The sequence below is a fragment of the Homo sapiens genome, chromosome 8 (genome assembly GCF_000001405.40).
Source record: "Homo sapiens chromosome 8, GRCh38.p14 Primary Assembly".
Classification (NCBI taxonomy): Eukaryota; Metazoa; Chordata; class Mammalia; order Primates; family Hominidae; genus Homo; species Homo sapiens.
This window is the reverse complement of record NC_000008.11, coordinates 68,930,812-68,955,508: the sequence shown is the minus strand read 5'-3', so window position 1 is coordinate 68,955,508 and position 24,697 is coordinate 68,930,812. Positions and strand designations below refer to the sequence as shown.

Here is a 24,697-nt window from a genome sequence, read left to right as displayed (position 1 = left end):
AGTGAAGCCAGATACAGAAAGACAAACATTGCATGTTCTTACTCACATGAAGGAACTAAAAAAGTGAATCTCATGGAGATAGAGAGTAGAACAATAATAGATACTGGCAGCTGGTTAGGGTGTGCCTGTGGGTGGGAGGGGTTGGTTAATGGGTATAAACATACAGTTAGTGAGAAGGAATATGTTCTAATGTTCAATAGCAGAGTAGCATGATCATAGTTAACAGCATATTGTATATTTCAAAGTTTCTAGAAGAGAGGACTTGAAATGTTCCCAATACACCCCAAATACCCTAACTTGATCATTATACAGTGTATACATATAACAAAATGTACATATACTCCATAAATGTGTACAAAAACTACTATCAATAAAAAACTGCTTTGTCCACCATATTTAATCTCCTAATAATTTGTGCAATTGTTTATTACCATCATCTTTAATGAACATTTTTTATATAATTGGATAGTCTTGGTAAGTGATAAGAGTGGTAACCTTACAACCAAAAGGAGGAATTTAGGTATGCATCCCTTATTTATTATCAATATTTTGTTGTAGGACTTTCTCCTTAGTTCAGCTGAAAGCCAGGTTCTTGTCACACGGCCATGAGAGATTAGGCTCACAGACACTTTGAAGGGTGAGAGAAATGGAATTTATTGGGCAAAAAGGAAAAAAAGGGAAACAGGGACTCTCAGCAGGATAGAGTACTGCTGGGATAGGCTTCCCACCTAGCAGATTGAATTCCAGGTTCCACCCTGGAACAGGAGAGGCCAGGCTTCTCCCTCCATGCAAACTGCACAAACTTCTTGAGGCTCCAACCCGGTGCACACTCCTCCCAATGCACAGGCCAGTTGGAGTTTTTCTGGGGACCCCTTTACACTTGGCTATCTCAGTTTCATTATTCAGGGTTCTTTTTATCTACTAAGGGCACTATGGTGAGCAATTTTTAAATGCCACATATAAATGTGCTAGGTTAATAGTGGGAGTAGAGAGGGTGTTTGGAATTACCAAACAGATACGAAAAGCATTAACCTTTAAAAGCTTTTATTTATGTATAATATCTTCTATAAACAATACACTCCACCTGAATCACTTAAAATATATTCTATTACCATTTTTATGCTGTTTCCTAGAACTTGTCTAGAATTGTAATTTTATATTTGAGTGGGATATAAATGCTAAATGTTTTGAAATAAAGCCTTACAACCTGAGTATTAAAACCATGTAGGAATAATTATGAGTCTGACATCCCTAGGAACAAAACATACTTAAATCAATATGCAAATTATCTCTTTATAATAATCTGCATAATGAAGAACATTATAATTTTTCTTATTTTCACACAGCCGTTAACAAACCATCTGTATGCCTAATATTGATGCTGTCTTTCCCTAGTGTACTGGACAACCTAAGACAGGGAAATAAAGATAAAGTTTGGATTGAAGAGTGAGGTAAGTTTTAACATCATCAGACAGACAAATCATACATATAACCTTGAGTTAAATACCACACTTGCTTGTGGATTGTTGAGCATCAATTCTTCAAAACAGTGTCTGCTCATTTAATGAGAATTCATATTCTATCATGAAAGTTCTCGATCTTGGTTATATGTTTCCTCTCTTATGAACTTTTTAATCTTATTTTAAAACAACTTTATTGAGGCTTATTTTATATACAGTCTCTTGCCCCATAGTGATGTTTCAGTCAAGGATGGACCGCACATTCCAAGGTAGTCCCATAAGATTATACTGCATTTTTAGTATACCTTTCCTGTTGTTTAGCTGTTTTTTCTGTGTTTTGGTACGCAAAAACTACTGTGTTACTATTGCCTACAGTATTCAGTACAGTAACATGCTGTGCAGGTTTGTAGCCTAAGAGCGATAAGCTATGCCATATAGCCTAGGTGTGTGTGTAGTAGGCTGACCATCTAGATTTGTGTAAGTACACTCTATGTTCTTGGTACAGTCAGTAAATTGCATACTGATGCATTTCTCAGAATGCATACCCCCCATTAAACAACACATAACTGTACCACAAGTGCATGCATTTTAAGTGTACAGTTCAATGAGTTTTTACATATATATGGACTCATGTAACCACCCCCTCAATCATGAAATAAAATATCTCCATTATGCCAAAATGTTTTCTCCTGCTTCTTTGCAGTCTTGTCCCAGGCAACCATTGATCTTAAAGGAAATCAGACAGACACTCTTTTGTGTCTTTGTCTTTTTTCCCTTTAGTATGATTTTGAGATTCATCCACATTTTTACCTGTATCAGTGGTTTGTTCCTTTTAACTAAACAGTATCCCATTATATGAATAAACCATCATTTCTTTATTAATTCACCTGTTGATAGACATTTTGATTGTTCCCAGTTTTTGGCAATTATGAATAAAGCTGCTATGAACATTCATATACAAATTCTTGTGTGGGTGTGTGTTTCAGTTTATCTTGGGTAAATACCTAGGAGGGAAATTGTTGGATCACATGGTAAGTGTGTGTTTAACTGTAAAACAAAACATAACAAAAACAGCAAATTGTTTTCCAAAATGGTTGTAGCATTTTGTTCCCACTGGCAATATGAGGGCGTTCCAGTTCCTCCATATCTTAACCAACTTTTGGTACCATTAGACTTCTTAATTTTAGCCATTCTGACAGTTATAGCAAGCTTGTCCAGCCCGCGACCCAGGATGCATTTGAATGCAGCCCAACACAAGTTCATACACTTTCTTAAAATATTATGAGATTTCTTTGCAAATTTTTTTAGCTCATCAGCTATCATTAGTGTTAGTGTATTTTATGTGTGGCCCAAGACAATTCTTCTTCTTCCAATGTGGCCCAAGAAAGCCAAAAAATTAGACACCCCTGGTGTGTAGTAAGATATTATTGTAGTTTTAATTTGAATTTCCTTGATGGCTACAGATGTTGAACATCTTTTATGTCATTATTGGCCATTTTATATCTTCCTTTGTGAAGTGTCTGTCTTTCCTGGACACAGGTCTTTTAACAGATTTATATATATCAAAAGTATTTCCTTATACTTAGTGGTTTGATTTTAACAGTTTTCTTTAAAGGGCACATGTTTTTAGTTGTTTCCAAAGTCTAATTTTATATATACATTTTTTTTTATTTCATGGCTTGTGCTTCTTCTGTCAAAATATTTGGCTGTGAATAGACAAAAACATTTTTTCCTATGTTTGCTTCCAAAAGTTGTACAGATTTGCACATACATACAAGTCTATACTTAATTTTGAGTTAATTTTCATGAATGATGTGGAGTAAGAGTCAATGAAAAAGTTTTGGCCGTTCTTTTCCAAAATGCTTTTTTTTCCCCATCCCTATCTCTTTTTTCTCTTTCTGAGACTCCAGTTATGTATCTGTTACAATGCTTGATATCTTTTCATAGATCACAGACACTCTGTTCATTTTTGTTTCTTTAGGTTTTACTTTACCTAACCTTCAGTTTGAATAGAGTTTGAATAGTTTTTATTGTTTTTTTGTTTATTTGCTTTTGTTTGTTTGTTTTTTTGAGACAGGCCCTCTCTCTGCTGCCCAGGCAGGAGTGCAGTGGTGTGATCTTGGCTCATTGCAGCCTCAGCCTCCTGAGGCTCAGGTGATCCTCCCACCTCAGCCTCCCAAGTAGCTGGGACCGCAAGCATGCAACACCATGCCTGGCTAATTTTTGTATTCCTAGTAGAAATGGGGTTTCACCATGTTGCCCAGGCTGGTCTAGAACTCCTGGCCTCAAGTGATTCGCCCACCTTGGCCTCCCAAAGTGCTGAGATTACAGGTGTGAGCCACTTACTGGTTTGTTTTCAAGTTCATAGTTCTTTTCTTCCACAGCTACTAATCTGCTTTAAGTCTGACAGGGATTTTTTTCATTTTATTGTATATTTTAGTCCTAGTAGTTCCATTTGTTTACTTTTTTGTCTTCTGTTTCTGTTCTCAAGATGTTCATATTTTCTTTTAAATCCTTTGCCCTATTTTTGATTTTTAAATAGCTACTCTAAGGTTGTTTTTTCTAATTTCATCTTATTGATAAACAATTTTCTTATTGATAAATTTTCTCCTAGGTATGGATCATAAATTGATGCTTTTTGCATAGTTAGTTAGCAATTTGTGAGTGGGTGCTAGACACAGCATATGTTACATTGTTGAGTACTTCCATTTTGTTTTGCAATTTGTGAGTGGATACTACACACAGCATATGTTACATTGTTGAGCACTTGCATTTTGTTTTCTTCCTTTAGTGTTGAAGTTTATTTTGGCAAGCAGATATATTACTTCTACCTTTGCATAATATTTTTCACAATTGTTTAGAAACATTGTTAAGATGGGCCTAGAGTAGTCTTTCTGTAATCCTAGTTTAGCCTTACTACTAAGACATGACTTTCTGTGATCTCTACTGAATGCCCTCAATGTTCGATGATACTTTTTACTGCCTGGTTAGAATTCAAACACCTCCCATCATTGGCCTCTGGGATTTTTTTTTTCAGCTTAAAGCTCTCTGGTAGTTGTTCTTTTGCTGTCCTTATGAAATTTTACCCTAAGCATGCCTAAGTTAGTATTTAACCAATGAATTAAAGATTCTGAAATTGTTTCTCTGTGTAGGTCACACCTCCCAGTACTCTGCCCTGAAAATTCTAGCAGCCTCAGCCTCCCCAAATTTCATTCTCCTTTCATCAATTTATACCATCCTGCTCTATTTTGGGTTCTTTCCCTGAATTATAGTCTAAAAATTGCCTCCAAAACAAAAGCTTGACAATTTTATGACCTACCTCCTTAGCCACCTTTCTTTCAGGGATCATAATTCTAATCTGTCTATTCTCCAATTCTTGAAAACAATTGTAAAATATATATATTCCAGTTCTTTTGCTATTTATAGTTAGAGGACAAGTTCTATACCAGCTATTTCAGTTGAAAGAAGAAGGCTCACTCTTATAGTTTTATGGTCATAGTCATTTATTTTTACTTAATAAAATGAGGGTGGGTGCTTTATAAACACTCCTACTGTTTGCAGGCTTCTTTATTTTGCAACTTTATTTGATTAGGCATGTATCAGATGAAGTATTTTTATCACCATATGTTCCTTTCTTCTTAGTCTAGACCTATGACAATCCTCAGTTTTCTACAGTTCTCCCAGAAGCATGCATTGGTTTAGTTTAATAGTAGAACTCCTCTGTTAGGAGATGATATTCCTTTAGAGCAAATTTGTCCAGCCCGCAGCCCACAGGACAACTTTGAATGAGGCCCAACACAAGTTTGCAAACTTTCTTAAAACATTATGAGACTCTTTTGCAATTTTTTAAGCTCATCAGCTATCATTAGCGTTAGTGTATTTTAAGTGTGGCCCAAGACAATTCTTCTTCCAACACGGCCCAGGGAAGCCAAAAGATTGGACACCCTTGCTTTAGAGGTAACAAAGTCCTAACAAATTAGGGGAGGAAAAAACAAAACTGTTACCTTAATATAAAGAAAAAATACATATAAAACTTTACACAATATACAAATAAAAGAACACTAATACAAGGGTTGAAGTTAGGATGTCAGCCGGGCAAAGTGGCACGTGCCTGTAATGCTAGCACTTTGGGAGCCTCAGGTGAGAGGATCACTTGAGTCCAGGAGTTTGAGACCAGCCTGGGCAACCTGGTGAAACCCCATTTCTACAAAAAATACAAAAATTAGCTGTGCATGATATTGAGAGCCTGTAGTCCCAGCTACTCAGGAAGCTGAGGTGAGAGGATCACCTGAATCTGGGGAGGTAGAGGCTGCAGTGAGTCAAGATTGCACCACTGCACTCTAGCCTGGGTGACAGACGGAGACCCTTTTCCCCAAAAAATAAATAAAATAAGAAGAAAAAGATAAAAGGATAGGATGTCTGTTATGCTATTTCTAGAAACAACAAAAATTAGTGATTTTACATTTTTTATGAGTTTTAGAGTCATCTCAATCCAGATAAGGGTGTAAACCTACCATGACTGTTACCCTTCTCACTTGTTCTTCTTACCCCCAGCCCATTCTCTATCTGCTGGATAGCCCTGTTGAACCTCAGAACCACTCTTATCGTCCTTTCCTCTGCTCTACACTTCCAAGCCACTACAGTGTCCCTACTGTTTGTTCTTTGATTACTCTGGATTTTTCACTATTATTATACTTGTCAAATTGTGTAGCAAACAGCTGTTTATTGACCTGACTCCTCAACAGGACTGCAAACACTTAAAAGAAGGACTGGCCGGGTGTGGTGGCTCACGCCTGTAATCCCAACACTTTGGGAGGCTGAGGCGGGAGGATCACCTGAGGTCAGGAGTTTGAGACCAGCCCGGCCAACATGGTGAAACCCCATCTCTACTAAAAATACAAAAAATAGCCAGGCATGGTGGCGTGTGCCTGTAATCCCAGCTATTCAGAGGCTGAGGCAGGAGAATCGCTCGAACTTGGGAGGTGGATATTGCAGCGAGCCAAGATCGCGCCACTGCACTTCAGTCTGGGTGACAGAGTAAGACTCTGTCTCAAGACATAATATAGAATTTATCATGAAAATAGATTAATTTTAGTTCTCTTTTTAGCCAACAACAATATCTTTCTCATTTATAATTTGCCTATTTCAAGGCCCACAGATGATGGGTAAAAGAAAAATAAAATCATTTCCTTTTACTCAACTGATATGTGAGTTAGTTACTGTACTAGATTGTAAGCAGGGTCAATTTGTTATTTAATTCTGTCTTTCACAGATTGCTTACTGTAAATGGCCAATAAATATTTGCTGAATAGATGGAAGAATAAAAACTGAACAAACAAAAAAGCTTAAACTGGTATTGTCTCTCAATATACCTAAGTAAAATTAAGTATAGAAAGAAACAAGAGTCAAAAAATTATGAGATATAAACTCTTAAATATTTAAAAATGTTTATAATTTAGTTTCAGGTATAAAGAAATTTGTAATAGAATTTTTCCTTCAAAAAGAAAAGCTGGATTTTGCAAGGCCTATAAGAGGCTGTCAGTTACCACCTAAGGTAAAATCTTAAGAGTGGCTTTTGATTATAACAGATTTCATGCATAATAATATTGGGAACTGTATTTCACTTGTTACTCTGAATAGTAGATGTAAGCTTGGGTTTTTTTTTCTACTTATTAGTGTTAGATTCAGAATATTAAAAAAATTAAAAACTCTAATTTCTGAATTTCAAGGATTTTAAGATTTAAAATGTTCATAAGGGAAAGCACAGAGTATGGAATAGAGATCCCTTCCACATTTTCACAACACACACAAGAGAAAGCAGGCCTACAAGCAGAACCAAATTAAGAGAGATTTTAAAAGGTGTTTATTTAGAAGAATTTCTGGTATGACTAGTTTAATTTGAATAATATGAAAGATCCACAAATAAGATAATAGTTTAAAAATTTCAAAGAAAAATAAAATTGTTCAAATGTCTTTGACAATTAGAGTCCTATGCTTTGATATTCAAATGATTCTGTTGAGAAAAATAAAAAGATAAACTATTAATAATTTAAAAATACAGAAAATATTACCTCCCAAGAAAATGGTGTAATAATATAATTAAATTATGAACTTTACTTCCCTAAAAAATTGATATTCACTGTGATCTAATATTTTATGCTTGATCTCTAGAATATAGAACAAATGCAAATATTGAAAATGTTGTAGTTTTCTAACATCAAGTATAATTACTGAGACATTTTCTCTGTTACTAGCTATCATGAATCAAAGACAAAAATCCCTGGTTACTTTACTTATTAAAGCATGTAGTTCCTAAGTGCTCTTCTGATGAATAATGACAAGAATCCCAAGCCAGTGTCACTCACTGAACCAACAGATATTAAAGCCACAAGAATCCAAACGTTCGTCTGTTGAAGCCCCTCATTTTAGAAATAAGAAAGTTAAAGTAGTGAGAATAATCTCTCTGAAGTCACATCAATTGTTTTAGTTTTCTCTTCTCTATGTAATGGTGCAAATGTGACAGACTAGATATTTTCCACTAATACATCTTCTAAGGGCACCAGAGTTTTTCTTCAAAGTGGTCAGAGAAAACAGATAGTAGTATATTCAAAGAGTTAATATTTCCCCACTAATGCCATATGTAATATTATCAAATATGTGTTACAAATTTACACAGTACAACATGTGTACGTTTGAGAAATTGGATAGTCTCATTTAGTTGCATCTAAAATACATTAAATTAATTACTATTAAGTGAATTTATGTAGGAAAATAATTCATAGCATGGTCATCAGATCTAAGGAAACATGATTATTACTGCTCTATGTGACTGATTTGAAATAAAGCTTAGGTTAAAACTACAAAGTAGGTTTCTAAAAACATGTTTTCATGTATTTGAGAAAGGACAGGGACCTCTTTTTTCTCTACTCTTTTCTTCTCCATCATCACTTCTTAAGTTTTTAGTATAAATCTCTATATAGAAAACTAAAAGTATAGTTTGTAATTTATTGACCAGGAAACAGAATGACAGAGGGAAGCATAAGACTTCTATGAAAGACATGGAACTGCCCATGGTGTAGAATAGAAACAATTAGCCTGCATCTTTGGTCTAGCCATCGAGAGTTCACTGTTGCAAAATTGTATTCAAAAGTTTTTATCCTGCATGTTCTATCTATCGGACAAATAATTCCAGCACTGGAAATAGGAGTCATCATTTACTTGTGTAGCTGGGCAGGTCACAGGTTGTGCTGAAGTGTTGTGTTATCTCTGCAGCCTTGTACTACACAAAGCATCACTGCACATTTTTGAAAATCCATTAAGACTATGAAAGGCAAGCATACAAAATAATGTAATCCATGCTCCGATCTGATCTTACTGTGAAAGTCCACAGAATTGTTTATAGCGTCCCAAACTCAGCTTTGTGTTTACTGGGGGAAATGTCTGCCTCATAAGGGCATGGTCCTGCCCTGGTTGTACACATTTTTAGGAGACAGTGAAATACAACATCCTTTTGCAAAGCTTGATAGGGAATCTCTGAGAGGAATAGAAGCTTTCACAGACACTGTCTGAATGAATTCATTTTGAACACTATCTCAGCTAGGCACATTTTCATTGATATTTCAAAAATAAGTGTCATATTTCCAATTTTTAGACCTACTCTTTTGAACGATAACTGGATCCCTACATTTAATTATTCTTCTAGCATAAGAAGCAAGACTGAATGTATGGTAGCAATAACCATGTGCTTTCATTTTGTGGTGGGCAAGAGGAGGAAAGAAGCAAGTGTTTATGGGTTTATTCTACAACTCTGCAACACCAAAAGGAACAAAAAGTGTTTTGTTGGAAAAAAAATGCATTTTTAACCACATTAGCTTCAGTTCCTCTGAACAAAAATTACTTATTTTAACTAATTGAATTTTTTATTACACAACTGCTGTATTTGAATGGCAACATTAATGAAGAACCAAACATGACATGTGTTACCATCTTTACAGTTATTTTTTTCAGCCATTAAAGTAAAATCTAGCCTCCTTTGATAAATGTAACTTATGTTCAATTTTTGTAATTAAGAAAACTATTTATATTTTTGTTGTGTTACTTCACCATCTGACTGCATGTCTCTTTGCTGTAAAATGGCTTTGATAAACCCAATACCATATGTCCCATTGCTCATCAGTGCACCTCAGATGTGTCTTATGTTTACAAATTCATGAATAATAACATTTGGGAAATGAAAAGACAGGGAAAAACTCTAAAGATTTGTATCTCAAGATTCTGTATAGTCTGTACAACTTTATGCAGACAGCATATTATACGAAGCCTGCCAAATTTTTATTCTTTTAACATTTCCTGAGTATGATTTTTCTAGAAATGAGCAACTCCCAAAGTAATTGTATCAGGGACTGCAGACAGCTCTGTTCCCCGGGAAGGCCCAAGTAGAGAGTGCAGCATGAGGGTTTAGCTAAAAAATGACCAGTTCAGTGAATCAGGAATCCAAGAATTTAATATCTTGATCCTAATCCAGCAAGGGATGCACTAGATGTCTTTCCTCTAGTGATAAATTTTGAACTTATCAAAAGTGTGCTTTGCAATTTGCAATTGCAAAATTGTGGAACCAACCCAAATGCCCATCAATCAACGAGTGAATAAAGAAACTGTAGTATATAGATATAGGATGGAATACCACCCAGTCATAAAAAGGAATGAATTAACAGCATTTGCAGTGACCTGGATGAGATTGGAGACTATTATTGTAAGTAAAATAACTGAGGAATGGAAAACCAAACATCGTTATGTTCTCACTGATATATGGGAGGTAAGCTATGTATATTCTTAAGAAAAATGAAAGCATATGTCTACACAAAAACCTGTACATTAATATTTATACCATTATTATTCATAATAGCCAAAAAGTAGAAATAATCCAAATATCCATCAACTGATAAATTGACAAGCACAGTGAGACATAGCCATACAAAGGAATATTATTAGGCAATAAAAAGGAATGAGACATTGATACATGCTACAACAATCTCGAAAACGTTATGCTTAATGAAAGAAGCCAGTCACAAAAGACCACATATTGTATGATTCCATTTATATAAAGCATCCAACAAAGGCAAATACATAAGGACAGAAAGTAGATTAGTTTAATATAGTAACCTAAAGGGGAATATTATGCAGTAATCCCAGCACTTTGGGAGGCTGAGGCAGGCAGATCAGTTGAACCCAGAAGTTCAAAACCAGCCTTGGCAATGTGGCAAGACCCTGTCTCTACAAAAAAATTATCTGGGTATGATGACATGCACCTGTAATCCCAGCTCCTTGGGTGGCTGAGGTGAGAGAATCACCTGAGCCTGGGAGATAGAGGCTGCAGTGAGCTGTATGTTGGCGTCACTGCACTCCAGCCTGGGTGACAAAGTGAGATGTGTCTAAAAAATTTTTTTAAAATATTTGTTTTGAGGACAATTTAAAGACATAGGAAAATGCTCAGAAAACATTTAGGGAGAAAAAATAGGGTATATCTTTTTTGGAAGGAAAAACTGGTATTAGAAAGGAAGCCATATTTTTAAAAGATAATAGAGATATCTAAAAGTATGCTTTTACGATTTTTCATAAATTGTATTACATTTAAACTAAATGCCATTTTAATGTTCTAACATTTTTCTGAGGCAACAACTTTTATTATGAAGCATTTCAGAATAGAATGTAGTCTCTCAAATAAAATCACTCAATCTTTTGAATAACACACAACTTAAAATTTAAGTTTTTGATCAGTCCGAAATGCAATGAGAGAATGTCATTTTCTTCCTTTGAATTGAGAAATAGTATATATGAAATATTACTTTTATTGGAAAACTCCAGAAATATGATTATGACCTATGAAATCAGAACTGTATTTTGATTGATCACCTACAAATTGCCAGAGACTGCTAGACATGGCAAATATATAGGACAGAATCACCACCCTCAAGGATTAATAGGAAAAGAACACACACAAATAAGTAACTGTCAGTGTATGTGAGTGGTGAAATTTTAAACCTGTACAGCTCCAGAGGTTGTGAGAGGGAGGGCAAAATCACCTTTGGGAGGCATGAAGTGAATTGTCAGTGATTGCTTCTTATGGGAGATGATGTGTGAGCAGGGTATTGAAAAATAAGTAATAATTCTAAAATTCAAATGAAGACTATTAGAGCTGTGGGGTATGTGATGTTAGGCAAAGGGAACAACCTGAACCAAAGCAGTAAGATTTGACATCATTCTACGGTCTTGGGCCAACATGTAGTTCAGGATTGTTGTAGAGAAAAGTCCAATGGAAAAGAAATGTAATATGAAATTTAACAGAAGGACAATACTTTGGAAGACAGTGGATTGCATACATATTAGGATTTAGTCTGACTAAAGGTGTCAGAAATTCAAAATAATATTGGCTCATAGAAGACAGCAGTTTATTTCTCCCACCCATGTTATTGCTTGAGGAAGCCAGTCTATGACAAGTTTGGAAGCTCAGTGATGCTAATAGATTCAGGTTCTCTTTTGCTTGCTACTCCACCATTTTTTGTATCTCACCTCACAAGTTCAAAGAGCTGTTGTAACCCTAACCCTCATATCTACAATTCAGTTATTAGGAAAGAGAAAAGGATAAAGAAAGACACGCTACTTCTCTGTCAGTCTGTTCTGGCTGCTATATAAAATATCATAGACTGGGTAGCTTGTAAATAACGAAAATGTATTTCTCTTAGTTCCAGAGGCTGGGAAGTCCAAAATCAAGGTATCCGTATATTCCAGTATCTGGTGAGGCTTGCTTCCTTGTTTATAAACAGCCATCTTCTTGCTGTGTGTATCTTCACGTAGTAGAAAGAGTAAAAAAGCTCTCTGAGGTCTCTTTTACAGGTCCTGAATCCCATTCATGAGGGCTCTGCCTACCAAATCACTTACCAACGGCCCAACCTCATAATATCCTCATATTGGGGCTTAGGATTTTAACATAAAAACTTTAGGGGGACACAGACATTTAATCTATAGCACTGTCTTTAAGGACATTTAGCAGAAGTGCTACATAGCACTCTTGCTTACATGCTATTGACCAGAACTGAGGAATATATTCACAATGAGCTAAAGGGAAGCTGGGGATTTAACCTTCAGTTATGTGTCTTCTAAAGATGGCAGCAGGCAAGTGGTCCTATTATGAAAGAGAAAGGGAAAATGGATATTAGAAATCAACTAGCAGTCCCTGGAAGGCCATCCTAGGAATCTTATAATAAATCTCATAAGGCATAGAGAACCACTGCAGGCTTTAAGAGGGGGTAACCTGGCCAGCGTGGTGAAACCCCATCTCTACTAAAGATACAAAAATTAGCCCAGTGTGGTGGTGGGCACCTGTAATTCCAGCTACTCAGGAGGCTGAGGCAGGGAGAATCGCTTGAACTCGGGAAACAGAGGTTGCAGTGAGCCGAGATTGTGCCACTGTACTCCAGTTTGGATGACAAAGCGAGACTCTGTCTCAAAAAAAAAGGAGGGGGGGTGGGCACGGCAGGAGTAGAACAATCAGATTTATCGAGGTGCAAAGGATGGATTAGAGAGTGGCAAGTAGGGAGAAAAACTGGTTAAGAGGCTATTGCAGTAACCCAGACAAGAAATGAAACAATGGCAGTGGGTATAGAGAAAGGAGCATAGGTTCCCAACATAATTGGAGGATAGAATTAAAAGATCTTGATGACTTGTTGTGAAAGGGTAAGGGAAAGAGAGGGAGAGGAGATGATTCCAGAAAATATAGCAACATTCAACAAGATAAGAAAGAATTCAGAAGTGGACTTCGCAGAATGGATCAAAAGCATCTCAACTGTGCAGAAGTAGGCTTTACACTTAGAGGTCATGATTGCTGTGTTCCCATGTTTTGATATGAATTTGTGTGCTTTTTAAGCTTCTTTTTTCCCCAAAATCATCATTATAGAGTCTGTATGGAAATATCTATTTTTTATAAATATATGATGATTTAAAGAGAAGGTTTCAAAGTATATGAGGTCATAAATTTTTTCAACTTAAGCTACTTTAATCTCAGTGCAGTAAATACATGGTTTGGGCTGTTATTACAATGACATAATCTTTATTTACCAGATGTTTTCAGATATAAGGAAATAAGTACTAACATAACTATCAGTAAGAATTTATTGGCTTCTATTTAATTCACACATATGCACCAAGCTCTGTGCTAAATTCTTCTAATTTTTTTGCTTCTGTAATTACCCTAATTTTACAAATGAGAAAAAAATGATCCAGAGAAAATTTATTTAACCTGCCTGAGGTCAAATCAACTAGTAAGACACAGACCTGTGATTTAAACCTGGATGTGTCTACACTCTTGAAAACTCCATCGCCCAGCCTACACAATGCTTCTGAGGTGACTCTGTTTCTGAAATGGAAAGAAAAAGGTATACTAATGATCTTTGAAAATGTGACAACACAATTAGTATGTTGTATATGAAAAACAGGAAAAAAAGGTGAGACATTCATAAAGTAGTTCTCTCTATGCACTACATGACATCACTATAGAAAAACAGTAAAATAGCTGGAAACCAAAGATGGGGAGTAAAAAAGTCAACCCTCTGAACATTGATCTACAGCACCCTGGTGTCAAACCAGGCCTCCGCCCTTCAGCTCTCAGTTTTCTGGGCCAGTTATGGAGGTAAAATCATTAGTTATTTTTTTTTTAAATTGCTTATTCAGTATTTTTAATTGAATATTGACAAATTATAATTACATATATTTATGGGGCATGAAATGATGTTATAGCATATATATAAAATGTGAAATGTTTGAATTAAGCTAATTGACTTAGTTATGTTCTTAATCATTCAACAAGAAAGTACAACTTATGTCCATTAAAAATACACACACACACACACACACACACACACACACACACACAAAAAAAAAAAAAAAAAAAAAAAACTAAGTATATGCAAGTGATCCCAATAAGGTAAAAAAAAATTATGTCTTCCCTCCACTTACCTCTCAGCCCATATTGTATCTTTCTCAGGCTGATACCAAAAAGTCCTTGCCCTCTGCTCTCCCACTTTAAAGAACATGGCTGTGCTTTGGTCAAGGAATAGGCTGAGGCAGACATCCAGGCCAGAGTGACTCAGCGAGTTTGGAACGCAGGTGCACAATTCCATGTCTAATGTAAACACAGCTATGTAGCCATAACATGGGAAGGCCATCCCTTGTCCCTAAGCCACTATTGTCTGTAAAAGGTATAATTGCCCTGTTGACTGTGGAGGCATGCTTACACCCAGAGAAGGAGAGAAAGAGTCAGAGTTGTCCATCTTTGCAGATGCAAGGTAAGAGCCTGGACATGGCTCAGCTTACTCATGCCCAGTGAGGGAAAGAGTTAAGCTGCTGACCCTGAAGGCAAGGGAGAGCTGGCCATGCAGCTGTGTGTGGGAGCCAGTGGATTAAGCAGCCGAGACAGGGCAGACAGTGTGAGAAAGCCGTTGATGAGAGCAGCTGCTGAATAAAATCATCTTTCACCTGCCTACGGCCCCCCGAGTGTTCTTTCTGCTCATCCACCCACTTCCTTCAGACCTCAACATGGCAATTGGCATAGTTGTGAACCTGACACCTGCCATCTGCCATTTTCTTTTTCTTCCCCAAAAGTTCTGCCTATCTTTCTACTGCTTAACCTTCCCTAGGAGTCCTCTTTGCTTCCTCCTTCTTTAGGTCTCCTGCTTAGGCTGTCGGTTAATTAAGTCCAACCAGCTTTTGCCTGAGGCAACTTGTGGGAGCATAGGCCTCAGGAAAGTGGCAGGATGAGGGAGAGAATTGTGGCTTTTGATCTCATGTGGGTGGGATGAAAATATGCTGACCCTCCAGGTCCCTCATCAGAATGAAGCACAGCAAATCTTTCTCTTGCTGACATTTACCTCCTGTGCTGTATCTGTCTCTTTTTTCCCTCTAACCACAGCTGGATTCTCCTAACCTGAGACCCAGGTTGTGGTGGGTATGACGTCTCCAAACTACCACATTAAATGCTGGAGAAGTCTCAGGCAGTAGACGTGTCCCAGATAGAATATGACCTTCCCTGCTTTGTGCATTAGAAAACCAACCAGGAAATTCAATTTTAGAGATGCTTCCTTCCAGCAGTCACTTAGGAAGTTCATTGACATATGCATGAGTGTCTGGCCAGTTAACACTGGGATGAGGCAGCATGAATTAAATTTTCCTTATAATCTGGAAGAATGTATCATGGCCTCCACACTTGAGAAATTATCAGAGGCATATTTGCTGATTAGTGTTATGCAATAATCATTCCACCCTACGTTTAAAACTTTTTTGTATTTCAAACTTTAAGTTCTCTTGCCTAGAATGCAATATTCCAAAAATAGGTAGCTTGTCCTGAGCTTTCTGGACACTATGCAAGTCTGGAATTTATAGCAGTAAACTAGATTACCTCATGCTAAATGATAAAATCATTTCCAAACTCAGATTTTTTAAAATTCTTTTTTAAATAATTTTTTCTGCTTAATCTGTAATAACCATTCTTGAATCTGGACACATATAATTTGTATCTACAAATTGATAATAATAAAACTCAAACTTTTATTGAGTATTTAGTTTCAGGCATTGTGCTAACCAATTAAAAAATATATTCTAAACCTCACAATACTTTAAGTGAGTAATGAGTAATATTCCCATTCTACAACTGAATAAGAAGCTTAAAGAGTTGGAGATACAAGTTGAGATTATATTGCTATTGACTATCTAGCCCAGAGCCTAAGCTCTAAGCACTGTATCTTACTATTTCCCTGGTGTCTAATTAAGTGAATGCCTAGGATATGTCCTATTGACTCTATGGACTAGTACTTGCATATTATGGACAGCATTTATATTAGCAACTGCTTCTTGAAAATTCTAAAATGTTTACAAATGCAGTCTTATTTCCTATGATAATTTCTTGGTCTTTTAAAAATGTCTACTTTTTTTTCAACTAAAATGTAAAAATAGTCTCCCCTACACAAAGGATCTTGCAAAATGTTATCTAAGAAATCCTTAAAATAAAGGCCATGATACCTCAGAGCAGCTCTGAGATACATCAAAGTGCCCTTGTCAAGAGAACTTAAGTCTTTAGATAACGAAATGATGGCAAGCTCGGCACCAGAAGTTTCAGAATGTGGCAGGAGAAACAGAGATGCTGTTGTGGTTTTAGAGCCCTCTCCTCCAAAAAACATTAGATGTAAATCATTTTTCTGAATAGAATCCCTTTAATAATTTTTGGTCTTTTCTTTTAAACATGGAGAAAGTGTATCACCCTAAAATACCTCAGTGGAAATAGGATAAGAAGTCATTATCAATTCTTCCTCGTGGACATACAAGAGTGAATTTACTTCTTGACATTTTGTCATTTGTTTAAAGGAGAATGCACCTTCAGCTCCAGAAGTGTTGTGTCCATAGACATTAAAAAGTGAAGAGTGCAGGGTTTTCAGTGAAATATGGTAATTTGTTGGCGTTGCAAAATTACTTTGGATGTACGCTTCTAAATCTCTCTGGCAAGCATGAGGAAACCAAAAATACAAAATTATGACATCAAATTATATCAGAACTCTGAAAAGTGTTTTTTACAAACGTAGTGAAATATTTTGAGAAAATGACTTCCAACTTTGTGATTATGCCCTGTTTATCCAAGCTGATGAGGCTCTTCATAAAGTAGAATGGCAAGTTTAATGATTAACAGTCACAAAATTTTGTCTCATGTATAGAGAATTTAAGGGAACATCGATGTGCATTTTAGAATAGAAGTGCACTTTGTGAACTTGATAAAATAATATGAAATGAAAAAAAAATCTCTGGAGTGGAGGCAAAATTTTACCTCTACCCCTGAAGAGTCTCCAGCTGGGCCGGAGAATTCAACTGACGTAAGACAGATTAACAGGAGAAAAGCATGCAGATTTTTACATGTACATGGAAGCTCCCATAGGAAAATGAAGACCCAAAGAAGTGGCAAAATACAGCGTTAATATACTAGGTTGAGCAAAGAGAGGCAATTGTAAAAATAATAATAATAATAATAATAATAATAATAATAATAATTAAAATCTATCGGAGTCTGCAGGAAAATAAGAGGTTGTTGTGGTTTTTTGTGGTTGTTGTGTGTTTTTTACCAAAGTCTATTTGTGTGGATTTCTCTTGGTCTCAGCTCCCCATCTCCGATCATAAGAATATTTCTTTTCTCCTGGAATGCGGAGGAATTCTTTTCCACGAGTGTTTCGTCTCCTGTCTTTCTCTTGCACTTGCTGTTTTTCAAGTGCTTTTAGTTCAAAATAATCCTTATGCCAAGTGATGTATTTTGGGATAGCACAGTCGGCCATTCTTCATCTTTCAATTACAACCTTTAGGGAATGAAAAACTATATAAACATTCATTATTTTGACTAATAACTTTCACCAGAGATTTATTGTTGATCACATAATGTGGTGAAAAAAAGGTAACTAAAACATAACTTCCAACTGAAAGTCAGGAGGTCTCAGTTTTTATCCCCGTTCTGAAACACAACTTACTTCTGAGTGCCTCGGGGTTTTTTTGTTTTGTTTTTTTGTGTGTGTGTTTTTGTTGTTGTTGTTGTTGTTTTACTTTTCAAGTAAAAAAAGTCACACTTTATAATCTCTAAGATTCTTCTCAACCCTGTGATTCTGTACTACCTTAAAATATCCTCACGCCTGTAATCCTAGCACTTTGGGAGGCCGAGGCAGGTGGATCACGAGGTCAGGAGATGGAGACCATCCCAGCTAACACGGTGAAACCCTGTCTCTACTAAAAATACAAAAAATTAGCCGGGCATGGTGGCGGGCGCCTGTAGTCCCAGCTACTCGGGAGGCTGAGGCAGGAGAGTGGCATTAACCTGGGAGGCGGAGCTTGCAGTGAGCGAGATCGCGCCGGTGCACTCCAGCCTGGGTGACAGAGCAACACTCCATCTCAAAAAAAAAAAAAAAAAAAAAAAAAAAATCAACATCTGCTCGGCTCTTTTCTCTAGGACTCCTCACTGCAGTATATTTCTTTTTTTGTTTTTTTTTTGTTGTTGTTGTTGTTTTCTTTTTTTAAATATTATTATTATACTTTAAGTTTTAGGGTACATGTGCACAATGTGCAGGTTTGGTACATATGTATGCATGTGCCATGTTGGTGTGCTGCACCCATTAACTCGTCATTTAGCATTAGGTATATCTCCTAATGCTATCTCTCCCCCCTCCCCCAACTCCACAACAGTCCCCAGTGTGTGATGTTCCCCTTCCTGTGTCCATGTGTTCTCATTGTTCAATTCCCACCTATGAGTGAGAAGATGCAGTGTTTGGCTTTTTTTCCTTGCGATAGTTTACTGAGAATGATGGTTTCCAGCTTCATCCATGTCCCTACAAAGGACATGAACTCATCATTTTTTTTATGGCTGCATAGTATTCCATGGTGTATATGTGCCACAGTTTCTTAATCCAGTCTATCATTGTTGGACATTTGGGTTGGTTCCAAGTCTTTGCTATTGTGAATAGTGCTGCAATAAACATATGTGTTCATGTGTCTTTATAGCAGCATGATTTATAATCCTTTGGGTATATACCCAGTAATGGGATGGCTGGGTCAAATGGTATTTCCTGTTCTAGATCCCTGAGGAATCGCCACACTGACTTCCACAATGGCTGAACTAGTTGACAGTCCCACCAACAGTGTAAAAGTGTTCCTATTTCTCCACATCCTCTCCAGCACCTTTTGTTTCCTGACTTTTTAATGATCACCATTCTAACTGGTGTGAAATGGTATCTCATTGTGGTTTTGATTTGCATTTCTCTGATGGCCAGTGATGATGAGCATTTTTTCATGTGTTTTTTGGCTGCATAAATGTCTTCTTTTGAGAAGTGTCTGTTCAGCAGTATATTCCTTAGGTATTACTTTATATCTATCAAGAATTCATCCACAAATACTACATGTTAAACCCCAAACAATTTCTCTTAATTTTTTAAAAATAAAAACTGCTTGGTGGGCATGGTGGCTCACACCTGTAATCCCAACACTTTGGGAGGCCGAGGCAGGAGATTCACTTGAGTCCAGGAGTTCAAGACCATCCTGTGCAACATGGTGAGACCCTTGAATCCAAAAAAAATACAAAAATTAGCCAGGTGTGGTGGTGCATGCTTGTAGTCCCAGTTACTCAGGAGGCCGAGGTGCTAGGACAGCTTGAGCATGGGAGATAGAGGTTGCAGTTAACCAAGATTGCACCACTGCATGCTGCCTGGATGACAGTCTCAAAAAAAAAAAAAAAATTTAAAAATAAAAAGTACTTAAAACATATGCAAAATTCACCTTAAAAACAAACTTTTTGATGAAACTTTTTAAACTTTCCACCAACATTTAGGGGTAAAGCTAAACAGATTAATAATAAATCTTTGTTTTATATAAATTAAGATGTAACAAATTTTATAGTAAATCTGCCGTTACCAGCAAGGACATATTATCTTGATGTTAAACGTACTTGATAAACAGAAAATTCCCACTGTTTATTAATTTCATGTACAGAGAAATATGATCCAAAAAAATTTCAAAGCTGCATTCATTACCTTCATCAAACATTTCAAAGGTGACTTCATTAGCTGTCTCATCATTTTTCTGCTGTATGCTCCTCAGCACATAAGGGCTCAGTTTCTCAGCTACAATATTAGCTTACATTTTCAATTTATTGCTCAGAATATATGCCCTTCGGCTGTTTCACGTGTCTCAGAGATATGTCAGGATTGTGTAAACTTGATGCCAACATTAAGACATCTACATACACAGCTGAGAATCAATAAATGTTGACTGACCTTAAATAAATTTCAGCAGGCTTAAGTTTACGGTTTTTGCAAATGTATTTAAAGTACAGAAATTAAATGATGTGAATTCTATTTATTACTGGAATTTAGTGCTATAAAGCCCTACTAGTCTCTCAGATTATTTTGAAAGCCTGAAAGAAAAATCATAGTTTGGAAAAAAATGTTTTTGGAAGTCATAAAACTTTAACAGCTTGATAAATATTTAAAAGGTAAACCTTATATAAAAGATCAAATACAGAAATAGAAAATAGAGACACAAACAACTGAGGTATAAATAATAAAGGTATAAATAATTAACTAGAAAGCTTTTTTGAAGGACAATTTAAATGTATAATGAAATAAACATCTTCATAAATGATATGCAAAGATACACAACACACACACACACACATGCACACACTGTGGTAGGTAAGAGTCCATATTTTTTTCCCTAGTTGGTCAGTTTCAGTGATTTAAACAAATAGTAAACTTGTATTAGAGGACTTTGGAGTGTGAAGTGCATATATTTGTATAAACATGCACGTATGCATGTATGAATAATTTTTACATATCCTTTTTAAAAAAAACTATATTTTTAACCCAGATGAGTTGTGTCATGCATTTATTGTGAAGTTTCTAAATTCTTAACTGTTAATATTGTAATAAATATTCTAGTTAATTTTAAACTAAACAGTAATTTACTGATCACTTAAATCTATGTTGCTCACATATTAGATCACTAGAATCCTTTAATGTCATTGAAGTCTGCAGCATTGTGGTACATTGTTATCCCTCTAAATTTACAAGAGCCCATGAAGTCAGTATTACACTGTCTCATAATTTTCTTCTCTCCCAGTCATCTTATATACAATTACTCTTACTTTCCAACTGTGAATCTATTTTATGAGTGTATAACCTTTATATTGCAGTATTTAACTCACATAATAACAAGTAATATTTTATAGTGCCAATTAAATTCATAAAAAACCAAGATACACAATTCTTAATTATGGGCAAGTACTGTAAAATATACCTTTTATTCTTCAATACAATGCCACAGTTTTTTGTTCTACTCATGCTCCTAGAGTAATTATAATTACTTTTGATTTTATTCCTTTATAGCCAAAGAACAAAAAATAAATAATTCCACATTTCTTGTTTTAAGCATCCAAGTAGAATAACACTATTAAGTTGAAAAGGGCACATAAAACATTTTTGTTGTATCTTGAAATATTTTTTAAAAAGAGGAGTAGTTGAGTGTAAATGATTTTAGATAATCCATTAATATTTTAGCATGAATAAATCAGCTCCAAATGAAAATGCAAGAAATGACCTAAAATTAACATCAGCATGATTAACTTAGAATCGTTGCTTAAAATAAATCATCTTCAATATCCATTGAGAGGCTACTGTGGACATTAAGAGAAGCATCAGAATTTGAATTAAAGAAACCGAACATACAGTGAGTTGGGAAATCCATGAGGGACTCCAGAAACATGACATTGTAGAAAGATTTTTGAGATGTAGAGGAGAGGGCATGATTTTAAGCCCTACTTTTTCCACTCACAACTACATACAATGGGTTTATTTCTCTTCAGATCTCACTCACTCACACACTCACTCACATGTTGTTTCTCTTTGAACCTCTTTCTGTATGTGGATTCTGGGACACCAGGTGCTTTTACCACATTGGCTAATCCTCAGTTCTTGTCACCCAACTCAAACACTTAGTTTGAAATGTGAAGAGGTTTTTCCACATGGTATCATTTAGGGAAAATATAAATATATATTTATATATTTATAGAAAATCTAAATCTAAATATAGATTTTCCCTAAGTGATATCATATGGTTCCGAGGCTCTGCCTATTATCCATCAGCTGAGGAATTCCAAATTTATATCTCTAATTTTAACCTCGCCATTAATTCTAGAATCATATAATCAACTGCTGTCTTGGAATATCCACATGAATATATAATTCTCAGTTTTGTGCCACTATCAAAATAAAAGTCATAATTTTCCATCCCAAATTTGCACCCTCTCAACACATCAGCATATCATACTATTATACAACCCCTGTAAACCGGAAGCCAGCAGCTCATTCTTGATTCCTTCCTTTCCTCATTTCCCAAAATTCACTGTCAGCAAATTCTATCAATTCTACGTCCAAGTTCTACCTTAAATCCTTCTGGTCCTCTCTCCTTTCACCGTTACCACTTTGTCCCAGCTGTCATTTTTCCCTCCTGGACTACTACAGTAGCCTTCTCACTGGGCTCCTGATTCCAGAATTTGACCATGTGCAAATGATTCACCACTCAGTGGCCACTCCCTTTCTAAAATCGCTTCAATGGCTTCCCGTTGCATCGATGATACAAAGTAAATCAATTGGTTTGGCTCATTGGTTCCGCATAAATTGTCCTGTATAGCTCTCCCCCTTTATCTGCCCCTACTCACTTTCTGTATCTCATTCTAGTTGTATTGACCTGGTTTTGTTTTGTTTTGTTTTGTTTTGTTTTGTTTTGTTTGAGACGGAGTCTTGTTCTCTCTCCCAGGCTGGAGTGCAATGGCATAATCTCAGCTTACCACAACCCCACCTCCCAGGTTCAAGCAATTCTCCTGCCTCAGCCTACCAAGTAGCTGGGATTGCAGGTGCCTGCAACCGTGCCCAGCTAATTTTTGTATTTTTTTAGTAGAGACAGGGTTTCACCATGTTGGCCAGGTTGGTCTCAAACTCCTGACCTCAGGTGATCCACCCACCTCAGCCTCCCAAAGTGCTAGGATTACAGGTGTGAGCCACCACGCCTGGCCTGTTTTGTTTGTAAGCTCACAACAGGCAAGCCCTGACTCTACCCTTAGCTGGTTCATTTAGTCTTTGAATCTCTGCTCCACCATTACCACTTCAGAGGCCTTCCTTGAACACTCTGTCCAAATTATTTATCTGGATGGTTTCTTTTTCTCTGTTATATCTACCTTCCTATTTTCTTCATAGCGTTTGTCACAACTTGTTAAAATCCTGTGGGCTTGATTTTTCATTTGTTTATTATATATCTGTCCTCCCCAGAATGGAAGTTCTTTGAGGAATGTAACCTTGTTTATACGGACAACTCTTCCACCCTAGAGAGAATTTCCTGGAATATGATAAGCATAGAATAAATATTCACTTTGCCATTACAACCTTAGTTTATTCCTCAGCTGAGAGGAAGGAATGTCTACTTCCTAGTGTTCTTGGGAAAGCTAAATGACATAATGTGGGTATTAGGTATTATCACAGGATCGAGAACATGGGGAATACTCCAGGAATATGATACACAAACCCCAGAGTAAGTAGCCATGATCATGCCTGATCATACAAACATGGCATCTGTAGATCCTAGGGTAGTTCCATGATGATATAGGTCATTTCTTGGTAAATGATGGGTAAGAAAATTTTCTCATTTTTAAATAATTGAAAAAAGACAAATAATATTTCATGATACATAAAATTATATTCAAATTTCATTGCACATAAAGTTTTTGCAGAACACAGACAAGTTCTATTTACATATTTTCTATGGCTGCTTTCTTGCTCCAACAGCAGCATTGGCTAGGTGTGACAGAAATCCTGTGGACTAGACTGGGCTGTCATGTAAACATTTAGCTCTATAAGTGTGTTGTTCTTTTCTTCAGTGTCAACCAACCCAGTACTGACCTGAAACAATGTAATTTTTTCAGCATTAGAAAATGTCTTATAACAAGTTAATCTTATCAGGTTGCAGATAAACACTCAAAGGAAATTGAAACATTGTCTGCAAGCAGAGATGGGCTGAGCAATGCTATAAAGGCAGGCTGAAGGACAATTTCAAAAGATGCTAGGTGCATGTTACAGGTTTTGAATTGTCTCCCCTCAAGAGAAGTATGTTGAAGTTCCAGTCTCCAGTACCTCAGAATGTGACCTTATTTGGAAAAAAAGTTCATTATAGATATAGTTAAGATGAGGTCTGACGGGCATAGGGCATGTCTTTAATCTAGTGTGACTGGCATCCCTATGAGAAGATGGCCATGTGAAGACAGAGACACATAAGGAGAATGCCATGCCATGTGATGACAAAGGGACAGGTGGGGGTTATACAGCTGAAAGTATGGGAATGTTGAAAATTTCCAGCAAACCACTAGAAGCTAGGAAGAGGCAAGGAAGAAACCCGAGGAGCCTGGCCTGCCAATACCTTCATTTTACACTTCTAGTCTCCAGAATATGAGACAATACATTTTGGTTATTTGGGGCCACTCAGTTTGTGGTACTTTGTTATGGCAGCCCAAGGAAAGTCATCCAGGAGAGATGGGTAATTAGGAAAACAAAAGAAAGTAGAAAAACAAAAACGGTCTGTAACACAGATTATATATATGTGTGTGTGTGTGTGTGTGTGTGTGT

The 24,697-nt window shown here is 36.4% G+C and overlaps 1 long non-coding RNA gene across 1 annotated transcript in view; it reads left to right on the top strand.

Annotated features, from left to right (window-relative positions):
• LINC01592 (long intergenic non-protein coding RNA 1592) overlaps positions 1-24,697 on the top strand; it is a 192,388-nt gene that overhangs the window by 148,682 nt on the left and 19,009 nt on the right. Inside the window, exon 3 of the long non-coding RNA NR_039986.1 lies at positions 1,347-1,451. This is a non-coding gene — a long non-coding RNA (long intergenic non-protein coding RNA 1592). The remainder of the gene's footprint in view (positions 1-1,346; positions 1,452-24,697) is intronic.